This window comes from Homo sapiens, chromosome 16 (genome assembly GCF_000001405.40).
Source record: "Homo sapiens chromosome 16, GRCh38.p14 Primary Assembly".
Classification (NCBI taxonomy): domain Eukaryota; kingdom Metazoa; phylum Chordata; class Mammalia; order Primates; family Hominidae; genus Homo; species Homo sapiens.
Window position 1 is genome coordinate 24,608,974 of NC_000016.10, and position 19,843 is coordinate 24,628,816.

General features: G+C 45.3%; 1 protein-coding gene across 14 annotated transcripts in view; it reads left to right on the top strand.

Moving 5' to 3' along the window:
- Positions 1-1,231: 1,231 nt before the first annotated feature.
- TNRC6A (trinucleotide repeat containing adaptor 6A) overlaps positions 1,232-19,843 on the top strand; it is a 216,014-nt gene continuing 197,402 nt past the window's right edge. For all 14 annotated transcript variants that reach the window (XM_024450231.2, XM_017023145.3, NM_001351850.2 and 11 more), the window contains exon 1: positions 1,232-1,511. The gene's annotated coding sequence lies outside the window, so the exon portion shown is untranslated. The remainder of the gene's footprint in view (positions 1,512-19,843) is intronic.

The following is a 19,843-nucleotide window of genomic DNA, read 5'->3' on the forward strand; positions in this document are numbered from 1 at the left end:
TCTGTTTATGATTCTGTTGCCTTTAACAGACGACAGGCACCTCAAGAACAGAGATGTGGCTTTATGCATTTCTTTAACATGTCTTCCCTCCCTTCCATCTTTCTCAGTGCCTAGTACGAGACCTGCAGCATGTTAGGTGCTCTACAAAAATATTTGTTTAATAAAAGATCGAGTGAATGAAAACATGAGCAAAGGAGGTTACTACAATGGGAAGAAACAAACTTAACCGATTTTTTTTTTTTTTGAGACAGAATCTTGCTCTGCAACCTCCACCTCTGGGTTCAAGCAATTCTCCTGCCTCAGCCTCTCAAGTAGCTGCGATTACAGGTGTGTGCCACCATGCCCAGCTAATTTTTTATATTTTTAGTAGAGATGGGGTTTCACCATGTTGGCCAGGCTGGTCTTAGAACTCCTGACCTCAGGTGATCCACTCACCTTGGCCTCCCAAAATGCTGGGATTACAGGTGTAAGCCACTGCACCCCGCCAAACCCAGCTGATTTTTCAGTCGATTTAACTGTATCCTCATTAAGGGAAGAAATGGAGAGATGTACATATGTATGAGAGAGAGAGACAGAGAGAGAGAGAGAGAGAGACAGAGAGAGAGAGAGACAGAGAGAGAGAGAGAGAGAGAGACAGAAGGGAAATATCTGCAGAGAGAACAGAGCTATGATCACTAAGTAGAACAGAGGCAGCCTAATCGCCTAATCAGATACCCAGTCGGGGCCCCACCTGACTCCTACTGCAGCTGGGGGGTGGAGGGACTAGAAGGTTCAGCTGGAGTGGTCTCCCCTTCTGCAGCTCCAGTCTCCCCACCTCCAACCCCCACTGCCACTGCCCCGTGAGGAGGCTTGGAAGCTGTGGGGAGGGGAGGCAGCCGAGTTGGGCTTCTAGAACGAGGCGGGATGGTGTGAGCTCAAACGCCCTGCAATTGCTGGAGCAACAGCGGCGACACTTGAGTTATTCACAAAGGCTGGAATTCAAATGAGGCTGGCACCGCTCCAAGTCGCAATAGCTTAGGAGGAGAGAGAAAGGCATATTAACTATTCATCAAGGTCTTCGCGTTGCATGGGCTCTGAGGGTTCTCCATCTGCGTCCCTCCCTCTGTCACTGACTGGGGGTAGGGGGCGGGGGGTCCCCCAGAAGCACTTTATCTGTCAGTCTGTGAGCGGGGGCTGGGGGTGGGGGACTGAAGTTAGGCAGATTTGTCTCATCACATGATGGGGGACCTGTATCATGTGATGGCTCCGGTGATGTTGGAGGCGGCATGTGACTCCCAGGGCTACGTGGGTTCAAAAACAATTTAATACAAAAACACAAGCAGGTTCCCCTCCTCTCCTTTGCCTTTGGTCTGGCTCTCCCCATCGCTGGGTTCAGTGCCTGACTGAATGGAAAACCCGTCGTCTTGCAGCCACTAACCTGTGAGCGCCGGGTACCTGGAGACCAGGCCCCTCTGCTGGGGGCCCCCAGGAGCGGTGCCCCATCATTTTGCAGCCCACTGACTCCCAGCCTGGTAAGTTACTGCACACTTTCAGCAATTATCTGCGAAGCTTTCCTCAACTGCCTCATTAGCATGCGCAGGGCACCCTCGCTGGGCCCGTTGGAAGGGAAGTGCCTGCCGGCTCTGGGGAGCTGCGGCTCTCGGGCCCTGCCAAACAGACGCAGCCTTCCTAAGGAGCAGCGCTGCGCTGGCTCTGCTGGGGTGGAAGGAGCTTCTCCTTCGCTGTCCTCCCTCTCCCTTCCCAGCCCATCTTATTCCGAGCCTCTCCTCTCTCTATCTTACTCCTCCTAACCTCTCTCACCTCTCACCTTCCCCCTTTCCACCCCCTGCCCTCAGATTTATTTATTTATTTATTTATGACAGAATCTCGCTCCGTCGCCCAGGCTGGAGTGCAGTGGCGCAATCTCGGCTCGCTGCAACCTCTGCCTTCCGGGTTCAAGCGATTCTCCTGTCTCAGCCTCCCGAATAGCTGGGATTAGAGGCGCCCACCGCCACACCCGTCTAATTTTTTTGTATTTTTAGTAGAGATGGGGTTTCACCATGTTGGCCAGGCTGGTTTCGAACTCCTGACCTCCGGTGATCTCCCCGCCTTGGCCTCCGAAAGAGCTGGGATTACAGGCATCAACCCCTGAGTCCAGCTGGATTTTCTTTTTTATTCACATACCTTTCTGTCTCCCACTGATTTTTCTTAGGAGTTCCTCTCATCCTCTAACCTCGCTTTTTAAAATTATTTTTCTGGATACCTAGATTTTTGTCCTTTCTGGCCAGAGCCTGAAAGAACAGCTTCTAAGGACTTGGTGATTGGAAATGTACCTTCTAAAAAAAATTCTTTTTTCACTAAGACAGTGTAGAATGCCCAGTTCCCGCTGTGTGTACGTGCGTGCACATATGTGTTAAAGGAGATGGATACATTGCTTGGGGCCATCAGAACTGTTTCCTGGGAGGTGGTTTCTTGGCTCCACACCCCAGCTCAGCAAGGGAATGATCAAGTGATAGGAGGCACAGTTACAGCAGTCAGGAGACAAGGCACTCGGACCCCAAACGTCTGACTCTCTGTGGGAGAAACCAGGGCTCAAAGCAGGAGCAAAAAATCTAGTGCTGGATGCGCTCGGGCATCGAGAGGCATCTCGTAGAGCTGGCTCCGAGTTTGAGGCCACACCTTTGCAGAATGAGGCAGCATGTGAGCGATTTAGTTCAATGTAATTGCAGTGGAGATGGACAGGGAGAGGACAGATTAGAATGATGTTTAAGGGATAGAAATAACAAGTCTTGCAGATATATTACATATATTAGTTGAACCATGGGGAAGCCAAATGTGAATTGTGAAATTATGGCAGTGGCTGGACACAGTGGCTCACACCTGTAATCCCAGCACTTTGGGAGGCTGAGGCAGGCAGATCACCTGAGGTCAGGAGTTCGAGACCAGCCTGGCCAACATAGAGAAAACCCCATCTCTACTAAAAATACAAACAGTAGCCAAGCATCGTGGTGCACATCTGTAATCCCAGCTACTCGAGAGGCTGAGGCACGAGAATCGCTTGAGCCCAGGAGGCAGAAGTTGCAGTGAGCCGAGATCATGCCACTTAACTCCAGCCTGGACAACAGATCAAGACTCCATCTCAATAAAATAAAATGAAATAAAATAAAGTAAAGTAAAATTAAATTAAATCATGGCAGTATCTGTAGCCCCAGAGAAAGGAGATGGTGGCTGTGTCAAAAGCTTTTGGTTCACTGTCATCTGAGCTATACCAACGTCTGTTCGGCAAGAAACTTTTAACAACGACAGAGCAGAATCCGCCGAGTGACTCGATGACAGGGTGCTATTTCTATCTCCATTTCCAAGATGGAGAAACTGAGGCAAGGAGCAGCTCATTAGGTCACTTGCTTAAGGGCACTCAGCTAATAAGTGATAGAGCTAGGATTTAAGCCCAAGCAGTTTTCTCCAGCGTCCACACAGTTAACCACCAGACAGCTTCGAAAGAAAGCTATCCAGGCTGGGCGCAGTGGCTCATATCTGTAATCCCAGCACTTTGTGGGGCCTAGGCGGCTGGATTGCTTGAACCCAGGAGTTCCAGACCAGCCTGGGCAACATGGCAAAACCTCATCTCTACAAAAAATACAAAAAAAAAAAAAAATTAGCTAGGTGTGGTGGCATGCACTTGTAGTTCCAGCTACTCAGGAGGAGGATAGCTTGAGCCCAGGAGGTCGAGGCTGCAGTGAGCCATGATTGCGCCACTGCACTCAGCCTGGGTGACAGAGTGAGACCCTGTCTCAAAGAGAAAAAAAATAGCTGTCCAACAGTTGCCATGTGACAGTTTGTGCAAGTTTGGGGCTACATTTGTGAACGAAACAGAGACACTCTATTCTCATGGGGTTTATAGTCCAGTGGGGAAGGCAGCTATTAAGTCATCACACAAGATGATATATTGTTTCAAAGTGGGGCATTTGCTAAGAAGGAAGGTAATAAGATATGATAAGAATATATAACTGAAGGCCGGGAGTGGTAGTTTACACCTGTAGTCCCAGCTACTCCAGAGACTGAGGCAGGAGAATTGCTTGGACCCAGGAAGGAGGCAGAGTTTGCAGTGAGCCGAGATCGCACCATTGCGCTCTAACCTGGGTGACAGAGTGAGACTCTGTCTCAAAAAAAAAAAAAAAAAAAAAAAAAGGAATCTATAACTGAAGACATACTTCAGTTGCGGGGGCATAAAAGTGGGGACAGAGTTGGTCAAAAGAGGCCTCTCTGATGATGCAATTTTTAAGTTGGGGTGTGAGAGAGGGGTAAGGGTCAACCAGGTGGCGTGTGTGAAGGCCTTGAGGAGGGCAAGGGCTCAAGAATGCTGGTGGACCAAACACATTGCATGTTTCAGACTGTGTTAGATGAGGCCATCCAGATTATGTGGAGCTCCAAAGCCCTGGCTAATGACTTGGATTTCATCCTGGGATCAATGAGCAACTATTAAAGCATTTTATTTTATTTTATTTTATTTTATTTTATTTTATTTTATTTTATTTTATTTTATTTTATTTTATTTTATTTTATTTTATTTTATTTTATTTACTTATTTATTTAGAGATAGAGTCTTGCTCTGTCGCCCAGGCTGGAGTGCAGTTGTTCGATCTCGGGTCACTGCAACCTCCGCCTCCCAGGTTCAAGCAATTCTCCCACCTCAGCCTCCTGAGTAGCTGGGATTACAAGTGTCTGCCACCATGCCCAGCTAATTTTCTTTTTTTTGTATTTTTAGTAGAAACGTGGTTTCGCCATGTTGGCCAGGCTAGTCTCAAAATCCTGACCTCAGGTGATCCGCCTGCCTTGGCTTCCCAAAGTGCTGGGACTACAGGCATGAACTACTGTGCCCAGCCTATTAAAGCATTTTAAGTAGGGAAGGAGCATACTTGGATTTGCAATACGAAAAAATGAACACAAGAGGTATATCAGTTTTTCTTGCATTACAGACCACCTCAAAGCTTAGTGGCTTCAAACAACCATCACTTATAACTCCTAACTCTGTGAGTTGGAAGTGGCAGCTGGGATCATCTGGGCACTGCTGCTGTCCTGGCCTGGGTTCATGGCCAGTATAGATAGTCTGCTGGCAGGTTGGTTCAGAGTTGGTTGTTCGTGGATGATCTCACCCAGGTGTCTGCTGATTGGCAGGGGCAATTGAAATTGACCAGGCCACGTGTCTCCCTAGCTAGAGGGCTAGCCCAGTCTTTCATATGACAGCTGGGTTCCAAACGCAGCAAGAGAAGGGAAGCCCCAGTACACAAGCATTGTTCAAGCATTTGCTTGCATCGTGTTTGCGAGGCCCCGTGGGCCTAGACAAGTTACGTAGTCAAGCCCAGAGTTAGAGGATGGAAAAAGATACCACTTGTTGGGTGGAGGTACAAAATATTGTGTCTCTTTTTCTCAGACTACTACATGAATTCAAAAGGCTAATAAGCTGGACACTGTCTCCCTCTAATATTGGGAGAAACTGAAAGCCAAGAGGAAATTTGAGGCCAATTTTGTGATTAGAGATACCCTCAGAACTATCATCTATCAGACTTTGCTTTTTGCTTGGAACAAGCACGGGTCTGTTTTGGATATGGATTAGAAGGTGGGTGTGGTGAAATAAGATCTCTTCTCACGGGATTTTTTTGGGAATGACTTGGAGTCTTTTGAGATTGTTCCCCGTAATGAAATTTGGGCCATATGGAACTCAATGCCTTCAGTGTTCTAGGCAAGGCAAGAGCACATGCAAAGGCCCCCAGGCAGGAAGCCTGGGGCTTATTTGGGAAACAGAAGGAAGGCAATTTAATTTAAAGTAATTGCAGTGGACCAGCACGGTGGCTTACGCCTGTAATCCCAGCACTTTGGGAGAACGAGGCAGGTGGATCAACTGAGGTCAGGAGTTCGCGACCAGCCTGGCTAACACAGTGAAACCTCGTCTCTACTAAAAATACAAAAATTAGCCAGGCATGGTGACCGGCACCTGTCAGCTACTCAGGAGGCTGAGGCAAGAGAATTGCTTGAACCCAGGAGGCGGAGGTTGCAGTGAGCTGAGATCTCCCCACTGCACTCCAGCCTGGGTGACAGAGTGAGACTCTGTCTCAAAAAAATAAATAAGTAATTTTTAAAATAAATTAATTGCAGGGGAGATGGAAAGGGAGTGGACAGATGAGAATAATGTGTAAGAGGTAGAAATAACAAGTCTTGCTGCTGGATCACATAGAGTAATTGAAGGAAAGGCACATATTAGAGAAGGCTCACAGGTTGATAATTCCATGTACTAAGATGGAAAGAAAGACTAGGAGAGGAGAAGAGTATTTTGTTGGGGGAGAGGGCAGGAAGATGTCAACCATTCCGTGCTGAGCCCAGTAGACTTGAGATCCCGTGAGACATCCAGAAAGATATACCCTAGACAGTGGGATATGCTCAAAGAGGTTTAGACTTCATATGTAAATTTGGAGACCAGCTGAGATCACTTAGAGAGTGTAAAGAGAGAAATCAAAGAGAAGTGAGACTAGAACTCCAGGCTGCCCACCATTTAGAAATCAGATAATGGAGGCATCCATGCAGGAGGTGGAAAGAGGAGGGAAATCGGAGTGTGGGCTCATGAAGCCAAGAGGGCAGAATATTTCAGGAAGGAGAAAGTGACCAACTGGGTTGAATGTTGCTGAGACGCTGAATAAAATCATCATCTTGGAGAGGGGGAATGAACATTCTAAAGTGAGCAGAGGGTTGCTGGGCAGAGTGCTTACTGAGAACCCAGAGCATGTGTTTCAAGTTGTAGCTGGGTGTACTGGCTCATGCCTGTAATCCCAGCTACTCAGGAAGCTGAGGTAAGAGGATCCCTTGAGGCCAGGAGTATGAGACAAGCCTGGGCAACATAAAAAGTAACCCACCCACCCACCCCCCAACACACATACCCCTACATGCTCTAAATTTTTTAATTTAATTAGCCAGGTATGGTAACACAAATGTAATCCCAGCACTTCAGGAGGCCAAGACAGGAGGATTACTTAAGGCCAGAAATTAGAAACAAGCCTGGGCAACGGAGCAAGACCCTATCTCTAAATTTACTTTTTAATTAGCCAGGCATAGTGGCACATGCCTGTAGTCCCAGCTACTCAGTAGACTGAGATGGGAGGATTACCTGAGCCCAGGAGTTCTAGATGAGTCTGGCCAACATGGTGAAACCTGTCTCTACTAAAAATACAAAAATTTGCCAGGCGTGGTGGTGGACACCTGTAATCCCAGCTACTCAGGAGGCTGAGGCACAAGAATCACTTGAACCCGGGAGGCAGAGGTTGCAGTGAGCTGAGGTTGCGCCACTGCACTCCAGCCTGGGAGACACAGCGAGATGCTGTCTCAAAAAAAAAAAAAAAAAAAGAAGAAGAAGAAGAAGAAAAGAAGATTGTTTAAAAGGTATTGTTGCTTAACTCCTAAATACATAAGGGAAGGTAGTTCTCTTTTGCTTATTAATTTTTTAGGAGAAAAAGGCATACAAATTTATTAATGTTCATAAACACAGAAGCCACGCAAAATATGAGATTCTGTTATTTCTATCTTGACAACAGTCAGAAAATATACTCTATATGTTTTTATTCTTTGATATTTGTTAAGAGACTCTTTTTGACCCAGCATATGGTCAGTGTGGGCAAAGCTTCCATATGCACTTGAAAATAATGTGTATGGCCAGATGCGGTGGTTCATGCCTGTAATCCCAGCACTTTGGGAGGCTGAGAGGCGGGTGGATCACCTGAGGTCAGGAGTTCGAGACCAGCCTGGTCAACATGGCGAAACCCCGTCTCTACTAAAAATGCAAAAAATTAGCTGGACATGGTAGTGCATGCTACTCAGGAGCCTGAGGCAGGAGAACCGCTTGAACCCTGATGGCAGAGGTTGCAGTGAGCCGAGATCATGCCATTGCACTCCAGCCTGGGCCACAGAGTGAGACTCCACCTCAAAAAAACAAAATGTGTATTCTGCAATTGTTGGGTATAAAATTTTATATATGTTAGGCCAAACTTGTTAATCATATTGTGCAAGTCTTCTGTAACCTTCTTGATCTTTTGTGTGTGCGCTTGTTTTCTCAGTAAGAGAGAGAAATGTGCCAAAATCTTTAACTGTAATTATAGATTTATCTATTAGTTTTTTTGAGCATCTTTTTTTTTTTTGGCAGGTTGTGGGGATGGAGTCCCACTCTGTTGCCCAGGCTGGAGTGCAGTGGTGCAATCATAGCTCACTCCAGCCTCCCACTCCTGGGCTCAGGTGATCCTCCCACATCAGCCTCCTGAGTAGCTGAGACTACAGGTGTATGTCACCACACTTGGCTAATTTTTAAAATATTTTTTGTAAAGACTGGGTCTCACTACGTTGCCCAGGCTGGTCTTGAACTCCTGGGCAATCCTCCCACCTCAACCTCCCAAAGTGCTGGGGTTACAGGCATGAGCCACCACCCCTGGCCAAGATAATTTAATAATCCTAATGCCTAGTGTGATTGTGTGATTAAGAATTATGCTTCTTTTATTGCTTCTTGGCCTTTTGACTCAGATCAAATATGAAGAAATATGCTTCTTTTATTAATTGTATTATTTATACAACAAACTTATATAGCACTTACCCTGTGTCAAGTATGTTATTACTAAAAGCTCATGTAATCCTCATAACAACCCCAGGAGGTAGGTATTGATATTATACCCATTGCAGAGATGAGGAAACTGAGGCATGGAGAGACTAAATAACTCACCCAGAGTCATGTGCCTTGTAAGTGGTCAAGCCAGGCTGTGTTATCTCTCCTCTGTTCTTCAGCTACGCCTGCTGAGAATGAAACAGTTCATATCCACGGATGAGGAGGGCATCCTATCCCCTGCACAGTTCTGGAGATGTGTAGAAGACATTTGATTTTATCTATGCCTCTTAATTTGAATTAATTTTTTTATTTTATTTTATTTATTTATTTTGAGACAGAGTCTCACTCTATCGCCCAGGCTGGAATGCAGTGGCATGATCTCAGCTCGTAACCTCTGCCTCCCAGGTCCAAGCGATTCTCGTGCCTCAGCCATCTTAGTAGCTGGAATTACAGGCGTGCGGCACCACACCCGGCTAATTTTTGTGTTTTTTTATTTGTTTATTTGTTTGTTTTGTAGAGATGGGGTTTCGCCATGTTGCCCAGACTGGGTCTTGAACTCTCAGCCTCAAGTGATCTGCCCGCATCAGCTTCCTAAAGTGCTGGGGTTACTGGCGTGAGCCACTGCGCCCAGCCCATGCTTTTTTCAAGGCTGTGACTGAGCCACCTTCTGTTAGGAGTAATTACAGAAAACATCAATTGAACACTTTGCATGTGCCAGCCACTGAGCTAGGTATTTTACCTAGTGGTATATCCTATTTTCTAAACAGTACCCTACTCCTGGTAGGCTCTCAGCAACTATTTGTCAAATAAATGTGGAATGACTTTAATCCCCATAGCTTTATGGTGTAAATATAATTATGATTCCCATTTTACCGGTGAAACAACTGAGGCCCCAAGTAGTTGACTTGCCTAGTGAATGATCTGTAGACAACAGCAGTGTGATTATATCACCCAGCAAGTACACAAGATGATCTATTAGGGTGAAGAAGGAAAACAATGGGACCTCTATTTATATGTATTCCTTATATCATTCCTTTTACTTTCCATTTCATGAATTTTTTTTTTTTTTTTTTTTTTTTTTGAGACAAGGTCTCACTCTGGCATCCCGGCTGGAGTACACTGGCGCAACCATGGCTCACTGCAGCAAGCCTCCCACCTCAGCCTCCTTGAGTAGCTGGAACCACAGGCACATGCCACCACACCTGGCTATTTTTTTTTTTTAAGTAGAGATGGGGTTTCACCATGTTAGCCAGGCTAGTCTCAAACTCCGGGCCTCAAGTGATCCACCCACCTCGGCCTCCCGAAGTGCTAGGATTACAGGTGTGAGCTACGGTTCCTGGCCAATGTTTTTGTAATATACTGAATAGTACAGTAGTTCATATATAAAAGCTATAAATAATAAGTAAATACACACATTTGCAGAGATACAGGCTTAAAATGCATACCACTGAAGTGAATTTTCGAAAGAATTTTAAAACCATTGCTCTAAACCACTACTCTGTACTTTTTCTTCAAAGAGAATGTAACAGATTGATTTATAGCTTTCTTAATTGCCATGAGAACTAAAGATACATTCTTGCTGCCTTGATTGGGCTGTTTTCTGAGTATCCATAGACAATATCCCCAGCATCGCTTGGAGTTAGTGAATTTAGAAAATTCACCTATTATCATCGTGGGTCTCACTCTCAGAGATTAAATTGGAGAAGGGAAAATAGAGAATGTATTCTCTTTGTGTCATGAATTTAAGTAGCTGCTATTATAGATGCAATAAGAATTAATTCTGTTCCCCTACTGCCTGAGAATAACATTTGAAGGTAAGAAATTGCCTGTTCATTGAGGCATAAGTCAATAAGTAGAGTCAACTAATGATAGAGCAGGGAACAATCAGATACAATGTAGTAAATTATGTTCTGTCATAGTGTAATTCTTAATAACTGAGCTGTCACTCTAGACATGTTCACATTTTTGTCTGGAGAATGGAAAGAAATAAAATTTTAGCTACATTACAGACAAGGTAAAAATCCTGGGATGTAGGTGGAAGGAAAAACTTCACAGAAAATACTCTTGCACTGGAAGATGAAGGGTGAGTGAAAGTTCATCAGGATGACAAGGAGAGGAACGTCAGAGAATGTCCCTGACACGGGGAACAAGACAGCCACGGGTACAGGGAGGAAAGGTCAGTTGTACAGGGTGTGTGTGTGAGAGACCGCAGGAGCAGATGTCAGAGAAGCTGGGCAGGAATCATGGTATGGACATTCAGAACTAGACAATAGGCCAGGTGCCGTGGCTCACACCTGTAATCTCAGCACTTTGGGAGGCCAAGGTGGGCAGATCATTTGAGCCCAGGAGTTTGAGACCAGCCTGGGCAACAAAGCAAGACCCAGGCTGTATAAAAAATTAAAAACTTAGCCAGGTGTGATGGTGCATACCTGTAGTGCCAGCTTCTTGGGAGGTTGAGGTGGGAGGATCACTTGAGCCCGGGAATTTGAGGCTGCACTGAGCTATGATTGTACCACTGCATTCCAGCCTGGGAGACAGAGCAAGACCCAGTTTCAAAAAAAAAAAGAACTATATGAGCTTAGGATCATCAGATCCCTGCTTGTCCTTGAATTATCATACTAGCTTCGTGGCATTGAGCAAGTACTTCTGCAAGCCTCAATTTCCCTATCTATAAATTCATAATAACAATCATTGTACCCACCTGTTAGGGTTATTGTGAGTTTGAAATAAGAGTATCCGTTTGCAATGCTACCTGACCACATGGGAAGGTCTCAGTAGAGGGAGGTGGTATTGTTGGTAGTGTCGTTATAATGCTAGTCAAGGAAGTAGATTATGGAATGCCTTATATACCAAGTCAAAGAGTTTAGGCTTTCTTGGGTCACTGTTTCTAAAATGTGATGTTTGTTCATAAGTGGCTCAGGCTGGGTGTTCTGGCTCAGGCCAGGAGGGGTGGCTCATGCCTGTAATTCCAGCAATTTGGGAGGCCGACGCGGGCAGATTACCTGAAATCAGGAGTTCGAGACCAGCTTGACCAATATAATGAAACCCTGTCTCTACTAAAAATGCAAAAATTAGCCGGGCGTGTTGGCGTGCCCCTGTAATTCCAGCTACTCGGGAGGCTGAGACAGGATAATCACTTGAACCGGGGAGGCAGATGTTGCAGTGAGCCGAGATCGTGCCATTGCATTCCAGCCTGGGCAAAAAGAGTGAAACTCCGGTCAGGCGCAGTGGCTCACGCCTGTAATCCCAGCACTTTGGGAGGCCGAGGCGGGTGGATCACGATGTCAAGAGATCGAGACCATCCTGGCCAACATGGTGAAACCCCGTCTCTATTAAAAATATAAAAATTAGCTGGGCATGGTGGTGGGTGCCTGTAGTCCCAGCTACTTGGGAGGCTGAGGCAGGAGAATTGCTTGAACCCAGGAGGTGGAGGTTGCAGTGAGCCGAGATCACACCATTGCACTCCAGCCTGGGTGACAGAGCAAGACGCCGTCTCAAAAAAAAAAAAAAAAAAAAAAAGTGAAACTCCATCTCAAAGAAAGAAAGAAAGAAAAATAGTATTCAAGTTGTTTAGCAGTTTCTGTTTCTATAAAAATAATTTTAAAAAAAACATGTGCTTAAGCATTTCACAAATTTGAAATAGAAGAAAGATTACCAAATACTGTTATGGTCTCAATAATGGTTCAAGGGTGCAGATGGTTCAAATTGGTCACATTCTTAACAATGTATAGTCAAAATTCAGTTACTAGAATATGGTCTTTTTTTTTTTTTTTTTTTTTTTTAGACAGAGAGACAGAGTCTCTCTCTGTCGCCCAGGCTGGAGGGCAATGGTGCGATCTCGGCTCACTGCAAACTCCGCCTCCCAGGTTCAAGCGGTTCTTGTGCCTCGGCCTCCCGAGTGGCTGGAATTCAGGCGTGCGGCACCACACCCAACTAATTTTTGTATTTTTAGTAAAGGCGGGGTTTCATCGTGTTGTCCAGGCTGGTCTCGAACTCCTGACCTCAGATGATCCACCCACCTTGGCCTCCCAAAGTGCTGGGATTACAGATGTGAGCCACCGTGCCTGGCCAACCTTTCTTAGCTAGATCATTGGTATATTATTGTTTATATGTGTAACGTGTGCATTTTTTCCTGTTACTATTATGTTATGGCTCTGATTAACAAAAATAGCTTAATCACTAAAAAGTGTTTCATTAGAGTATAAAAGCAATAGTAAAAATAGTACTACAAACACTGCGACTCGGAAGCATAATTAGTGAACAGGACTTCAGGATCTGCCAAGACAGAGCATCTGTGAATATGATGATTTCACCCCAGCAGCTGAAAGAGAAAGTGTGGATGGAAAGCAAGGCTATGAGTATCTGAAAATTGGATTTTTATTGAACAAGGGATTTATCTTCCTAGTGTCTCCAATGTATATTGTATTAGAAAACTTTATCAGATAGCTTCCTGATGCTGTAGGACATTTCACATCACTTCCAAAATAGAATAACCTGTCTGGCCAACCAGTGTTTTTTCCCGAACCAAGTACAAAAGAATATTTTTTAGTGGCCAGCCATGGTGGCTCATGTCTATAATCCCAACACTTTGAGAGGCCAAGGTGGGAGGATCTCTAGAGCCTAGGAACTCAAGACCAACATAGCAAGACTCTATCCCTAAGAAAAAAATAAAAAAAAGATAGAACATTTTCTAGTATGCAATTGATTAATTTTATTTCTAATTGCAAAGAAGGCCAGGTGCTGTGGCTCACACCTGTAATCGTGGCACTTTGGGAGGCCAAGGCAGGTGGATCACCTGAGGTCAGGAGTTCGAGACCAGCCTGGCCAACATGGTGAAACCCTGTTTCTGGTAAAAGCACAAAAATAAGCAGGGTGTGGTGGTGCGTGCCTGTAATCCCTGGGAGGCTGAGGCAGAAGAATTGCTGGAACCCAGGAGGCAGAGGTTGCAGTGAGCCGAGATCGCACTACTGCACTCCAGCCTGGGTGACAGAGAGAGACTGCATCTCAAAGAAGAAAAAATCATCATAATAATTGCAAAGAGGACAAAACAGCAAAAGCAGATGCAAGCCATGCTGTTTTCAACATGCCTCCAAAACCAGCCCCAAATTTAGGACAAACAGAACGCTAGGAGAGAAAGCAAAACTAGCCAGAAGCAAACCTGGTGACAGGGTTGTATGTGACATAGCACAAATGGCAATAACAGTTCTATTATATGGTGGAACTACCATTATTATCATGATGCCGGCCAATATTATATTTTACAGTTGAGTGAAACTACTGGCGGAAAAGGTAAGAACCAGCTCTTTTTATCTGTGCGGTACATAGGTGAATGAGAAAGACACAGTTGATCATTTCGAGTTCCAATTATCACTGAAAACCAAAATACAAAAGCAATTTTGTGTTTCACCTAACGTTGTTGTGTAAGATGGTGCAGTTTGGAAGTGTATTTGACATCATGCTAACAGAGGAACCGCTGTGCGTACAGCAAAGAAAATTTGGTGCATCAGTATCTACTGCTACAATAATGCAAAGCAACCACCCAACCCAGTCAGTTAAGTGATAAGAATTTATTTATTTATTTATTTATTTATTTATTTATTTATTTACTTATTTTATTTATTTTTTTTTTGAGACGGAGTCTCCTTCTGTCGCCCAGGCTGGAGTGCCGTGGTGCGATCTCGGCTCACTGCAAGCTCCGCCTCCCGGGCTCACGCCATTCTCCTGCCTCAGCCTGCCGAGTAGCTGGGACTACAGGCGCCCGCTGCCACGCCCAGAGAATTTTTTGTATTTTTAGTGGAGACAGGATTTCACCGTGTTAGCCAGGATGGTCTCGATCTCCTGACCTTGTGATAAGAATTTATTTGTCTCATGAGTCTGCAGATCAGGCTGGGTCATTCTTCATGTATCAGCTGGGCTCACTCAGGTGTCAGTGCTCAGATGTCGGCAGGGCCCACTACAGAATTTGTGGAGCCCAGTACAAAATGAAAACACAGGGTCCCTTATTTAAAAATTATGAAGAATTTCAAGGCTGGACATGGTGGCGCACACCTGTAATCCTAGCACTTTGGGAGGCTGAGGTGGGTGCTTGAGTCCAGGAGTTCAAGATCAGCCCGGGCAATATAGTGAGACCTCGTCTCTAAAAAAATTAAAATAAAATAAAATAAAATCAGCAGAGCATGGTGGCGTGTACCTGTAGTCCCAGCTATCGGGAGGGTAAGGTGGGAGGATTGGTTGAGCCCAGGAGTTGGAGGCTGCAGTGAGCTATGATCGCACCACTGCACTCCAGCATGGGTAAAGGAGCAAGACCCTGTCTCAAAAAAAAAAAAAAAAAAAAAAAAAAAAAGAATTTCAAGAGGATGGCAACAGCATTAGCATTAAAGCAAATGGTTCTTTTCTTAGCACTGGGCTCTATGCAATTGCAAAGGTCATGCAGTGATGAAGCCAGCACTGGCTGTAGGTCACATACGCGGCTCTGCTGCTCTTGGCTGGGTTCTTTCACCTGTCTGGGCATCAGCTGGCTGTTGGCTAGCTGGGACAACTCGGGGTAAGTCCACTCCATTCCATGGGTCACATCCGTCAGCAGGCTCGCCCACACGTTTCTTACCACACAGACAGAGGAGCAAGAGCACGCAAACCCAAATGTGCACGTGGATTCCAAATCTCTGCTCTCGTCACATTTGCTGACATCCCATTGGGTCACAGCAGGACACGTGGCCATCTCAGAGCAAAAGTGGGAGGTGCTACAGCATTATACAGCAGAGGGCATGAATACAAGGAGGGCTGAAGAAGGAGGGCCATTTTTGTCATCTACCTTCCTTGACTACTCAAAAATAGTTGCATCTGAGTGCTGAATTGCCCACTGCTTTACTTGCTAAGGACCGTTTGTTTGTTTGTTTGTTTGTTTGTTTTGAGACAGGATCCCACTCTGTTGCCCAGGCTGGAATGCACTGGTGCAATCATGGCTCACTGCAGCCTTGAACTCCCAGACCCAAGTGATCCTCCCACCTCAGCCTTCCAAGTAGCTGGAACCACAGGCACACATCACCACATCTGGCTAATTTCTTATTATATTTTTTCTAGAGGTGGGAGCTTCCCTATGTTGCCCAGGCTGGCCTCAAACTTCCGGGCTCAAGTGATCCTCCTGCCTCGGCCTCCCAAAGTGCTGGGATTACAGGCATGAGCCACTGCACTCAGCAAAGGACAGTTGTTCAACAGCATACATCCTGACCTTAAGTGCTGACGAAGTAATACAAATTGTTATCACAATCAAACATCAGTCACCGAACAGAGGTCTTTTCTGAGTGTTTTGGGAAGAAATGGTTGATGTGTGCTAAAACTGTTTTTCCACCCCAGAGCATACTAGCTCTCCCAGGGGAAGGTGCTCATGTGAATAATTGAAGGAGGTGATGAGATTTCTTTATATAATACTAATAAGGCCATAAAAGACCAGAAATCATAGACCTGCTCCCTGTCATCCTTGTCATTATCTGTTTGGTGGAGAAATGTTATCTCTATGATTTCAAGTAGTGTGTCAACACATTATGGCCAGTAGCTTGAAAAACTTGAACCCCTCATTTTAGGCCCAACATAATAGAAGATTCAGAGCTAAGGATAAAGTATCAGGAAATTGAACTGTGATGCACGAGGCTTTGTTGGCAGGCATTGACTCTTCCCTAACAGTTGATTTTCTTCATTCCATGGAGAAAGAAATCAATTATTGAGCATATTTTAAAACCCCATGCCAGGCCGGGTGCGGCAGCTCACGCCTGTAATCCCAGCACTTTGGGAGGCCAAGGCGGGCGGATCACAAGGTCAGGAGTTCGAGACCAGCCTGACCAACATGGTGAAACCCCGTCTCTACTAAAAGTATAAAAATTAGCTCGATCCCAGCACTTTGGGAGGCCGAGGCGGGTGGATCATGAGGTCAGGAGATCGAGACCATCCTGGCTAACAAGGTGAAACCCCGTCTCTACTAAAAAATACAAAAAATTAGCCGGGCGCGGTGGCGGGCGCCTGTAGTCCCAGCTACTCGGGAGGCTGAGGCAGGAGAATGGCGTGAACCCGGGAGGCGGAGCTTGCAGTGAGCCGAGATTGCGCCACTGCAGTCCGCAGTCCGGCCTGGGCGACAGAGCGAGACTCCGTCTCAAAACAAAAAAAAAAAAAAAAAAAAAAAAATTAGCTCGGGGTGGTGGCGGGCGCTTGTAATCCCAGCTACTCAGGAGGCTGAGGCAGGAGAATTGCTTGAACCTAGGAGGCGGAAGTTGCAGTGAGCCGAGATCGCACCATTACACTCTAGCCTGAGCTAGAGTGTTAAGTTTGTTTATTTTTATTCTTCCAGTACAGTGGCTCTCAGATACATATCTCTGACCCCATCTAAGAGATTCTAATTTATATGGTCTGCACTGTACTCTGGACACCAATAGTTTCTTTTCAACTTTTATTATAGATTCAGGGGTTACATGTGCAGGTTTGTTACAAAGGTATATTGCATGATGCTGAGGTTTGGAGTAAGAATGCCCTGGTAGTGAGCATAGCACACATTCAGTTTTTTTTTCTCTTGCCCCAATTCCTCCCTCTCCCATCTTGTCCTCCCCAGGGGACACCAATATTTTTTAAACCCTCTTCAGATTGCTCCAATGTGCCACCAGGTTTCAGAATCGCAAATCTAGTGGTCACTCTTGGTTTTTATTTGTTTTTAAAATGTTTTATATGTACAGAAATATAACACACACAGGAAAAAAAGAACATAAAGCAAACAAAGCTAAACATTTTTACATTGAGAAATGAAATATTGCCAGCACCCCAGAAGCTGCCCGCATGACTCATTGCAATGTATCTGAAATTTCATAACAGATATCTTTCTATGAGAATCTAGACTTATTCTGCCTCTGTAGCCTTCCTTGGAGCAATTCAAGCCATAGCATACTTTCAAGCCTTTTCCTGCTTGAACAACACTGAAATCTGATGAAATCGTAGCTCCAGATTTAAAAAATTTTTTTACATATACACATTCACATTTATGTAAAGCATATGTTTTACCAAGTTTTTTTAGATACTATTTCTTTTTTTTTTTTTTTTTTGAGACGGAGTCTCACTGTGTCGCCCAGGCTGGAATGCAGTGGCACTATCTCCGCTCACTGCAAGCTCCGCCTCCCGGGTTCACGCCATTCTCTTGCCTCAGCCTCCTGAGTAGCTGGGATTACAGGCACCCACCACCACGCCCGGCTAATTTTTTTGTACTTTTTAGTAGAGAGGGGGGTTTCACCATGTTAGCCAGGAAGGTCTCGATCTCCTGACCTCGTGATCCACCCGCCTTGGCCTCCCAAAGTGCTGGGATTACAGGCGTGAGCCACCGCGCCCAGCCTGTTTTTTTTTTTTTTTTTTAATCTACAAATTCCTTTCTCTAGGATTTGCAGTGGTGTCAGAAGCTAAAGCATCAGTCCAGATGAGAATTCCATAAAGTTCAGGAGTAAATGTATGGCCCAACCAGGTAGTTTATATTCTAGAGATGGGACCCTGTATCCTTCTTGGTAGCTAAATATTATCTGGGGTACTGCTCACCTGCCGCAGCTTCTGTGGCTAACCCGAAGTGTCCTAGCTTGGAGGGCTACACATGTGGCTGTGACCTGGAGCAGTCACTGGTGACAGCCTCTCCTTCTCCTCCCCTACATCAGCCTCGATTGTTTCGGAGGCCCTATTAAGAAAGGCTGTGCTTCACAATCCGGGTCAGCTTTCAAGTTCAGTGCCTTCCCCAAGCAAATTATTTATTCCCGTGTTCAAAAAGTAGCTCTGGGGTCTTCATCCTCAGAGCTTGATCATCCTGGAGCTACCAGGCAGAAGGGCGGCTTCTGACCCAGCTGGGGCCCTGTAAAATTAATTAATTATCTTAATGACTGCCCCGGGAGACCTCTCTCGCTCTTAATATTTGTTTACTCTGATCTTGGATTTCCCGCAGGCTTCCTTGGGAAGAACTGCCTTCCCTCAGGAGTGTTTAGCATTGAATTTCTCTACCCTGGTTCTGCCATTGATTTGACCCCTGATGTGTTCTTATAGGATTTCCTCACAACTTCTGATCTGCTAACAGGTCTCTTTCATGTTTTCTTTTCTTGCTTTTTTTTTTTTTTTTTTTTTTGACAGTCTCGCTCTGTTGCCCAGGCTGGAGGGCAGTGGCGTGATCTTGGCTCACTGCAACCTCTGCCTCCTGGGTTCAAGTGATTCTCCTGCCTCAGCCTCCTGAGTAGCTGGGATTACAGGCGCCTGCCCCCATGCCCGGCTAATTATTTGCATTTTTAGTAGAGATGGGGTTTCATCGTGTTGGCCAGGCTGGTCTCGAACTCCTGACCTCGTGATCTGCCCGCCTCGGCCTCCCAAAGTGCTGGGATTACAGGCATGAGCCACGGCACTTGGCCATCTTTCTTGTTTTCTAGCAATTTTGGATTTATATGTAAAATTTGTATGTATGTATAAATATAAAATATAGTTGATGCTTAAACAACATGGGTTTGAACTGCACAGTTTACTTATACATGGATTGTTTTCAATAAAAGTCACACTAAGGGCCAGGCTCATGCCTGTAATCCCAGCACTTTGGGAGGCCAAGGCGGGTGGATCACCTGAGGTCAGGAGTTGGAGACTAGCCTGACCAACATGGTGAAACCCCGTCTCTACTAAAAATACAAAAAATTAGCTGGGTGTGGTGGTGGGCGCCTGTAATCCCAGCTACTTGGGGGACTGAGGCAGAAGAATCGCTTGAACCTAGGAGGCGGAGGTTGCAGTGAGCTGAGATCGCTCCATTGCACTCCAGCCTGGGTGAAGGAGTGAGACTCCATCTCAAAAAAAAGAAAAAAGAAAAAAAAAAGTTATACCAAGTGTGCCTGCCTCTTCTGTCTCCCTTTCTACCTTCTCCACCTCTGCCACATCTGAGACAGCAAGAGTAACCCCTCTTCTTCCTCCTCCCCATTAACCTACTCAAACTGAAGATGACGAAGATGAAGACCTTTATGATGAACCACTTCTACTTAATGAATAGTAAATCTATTTTTATTTCCTTGTGATTTTCTTAATATTGAAGACAGTATATAATACATATAATATACAAAATACGTGTTAACCGACTGTTTATGCTATCCATAAGGCTTGCAGTCAATAGTAGTCTATTAGTAGTTCAGTTTTTGGGGAGTCAAAAGTTACATGCAGATTTTCAATGTCGGTGCCCCTAACTCCCACATT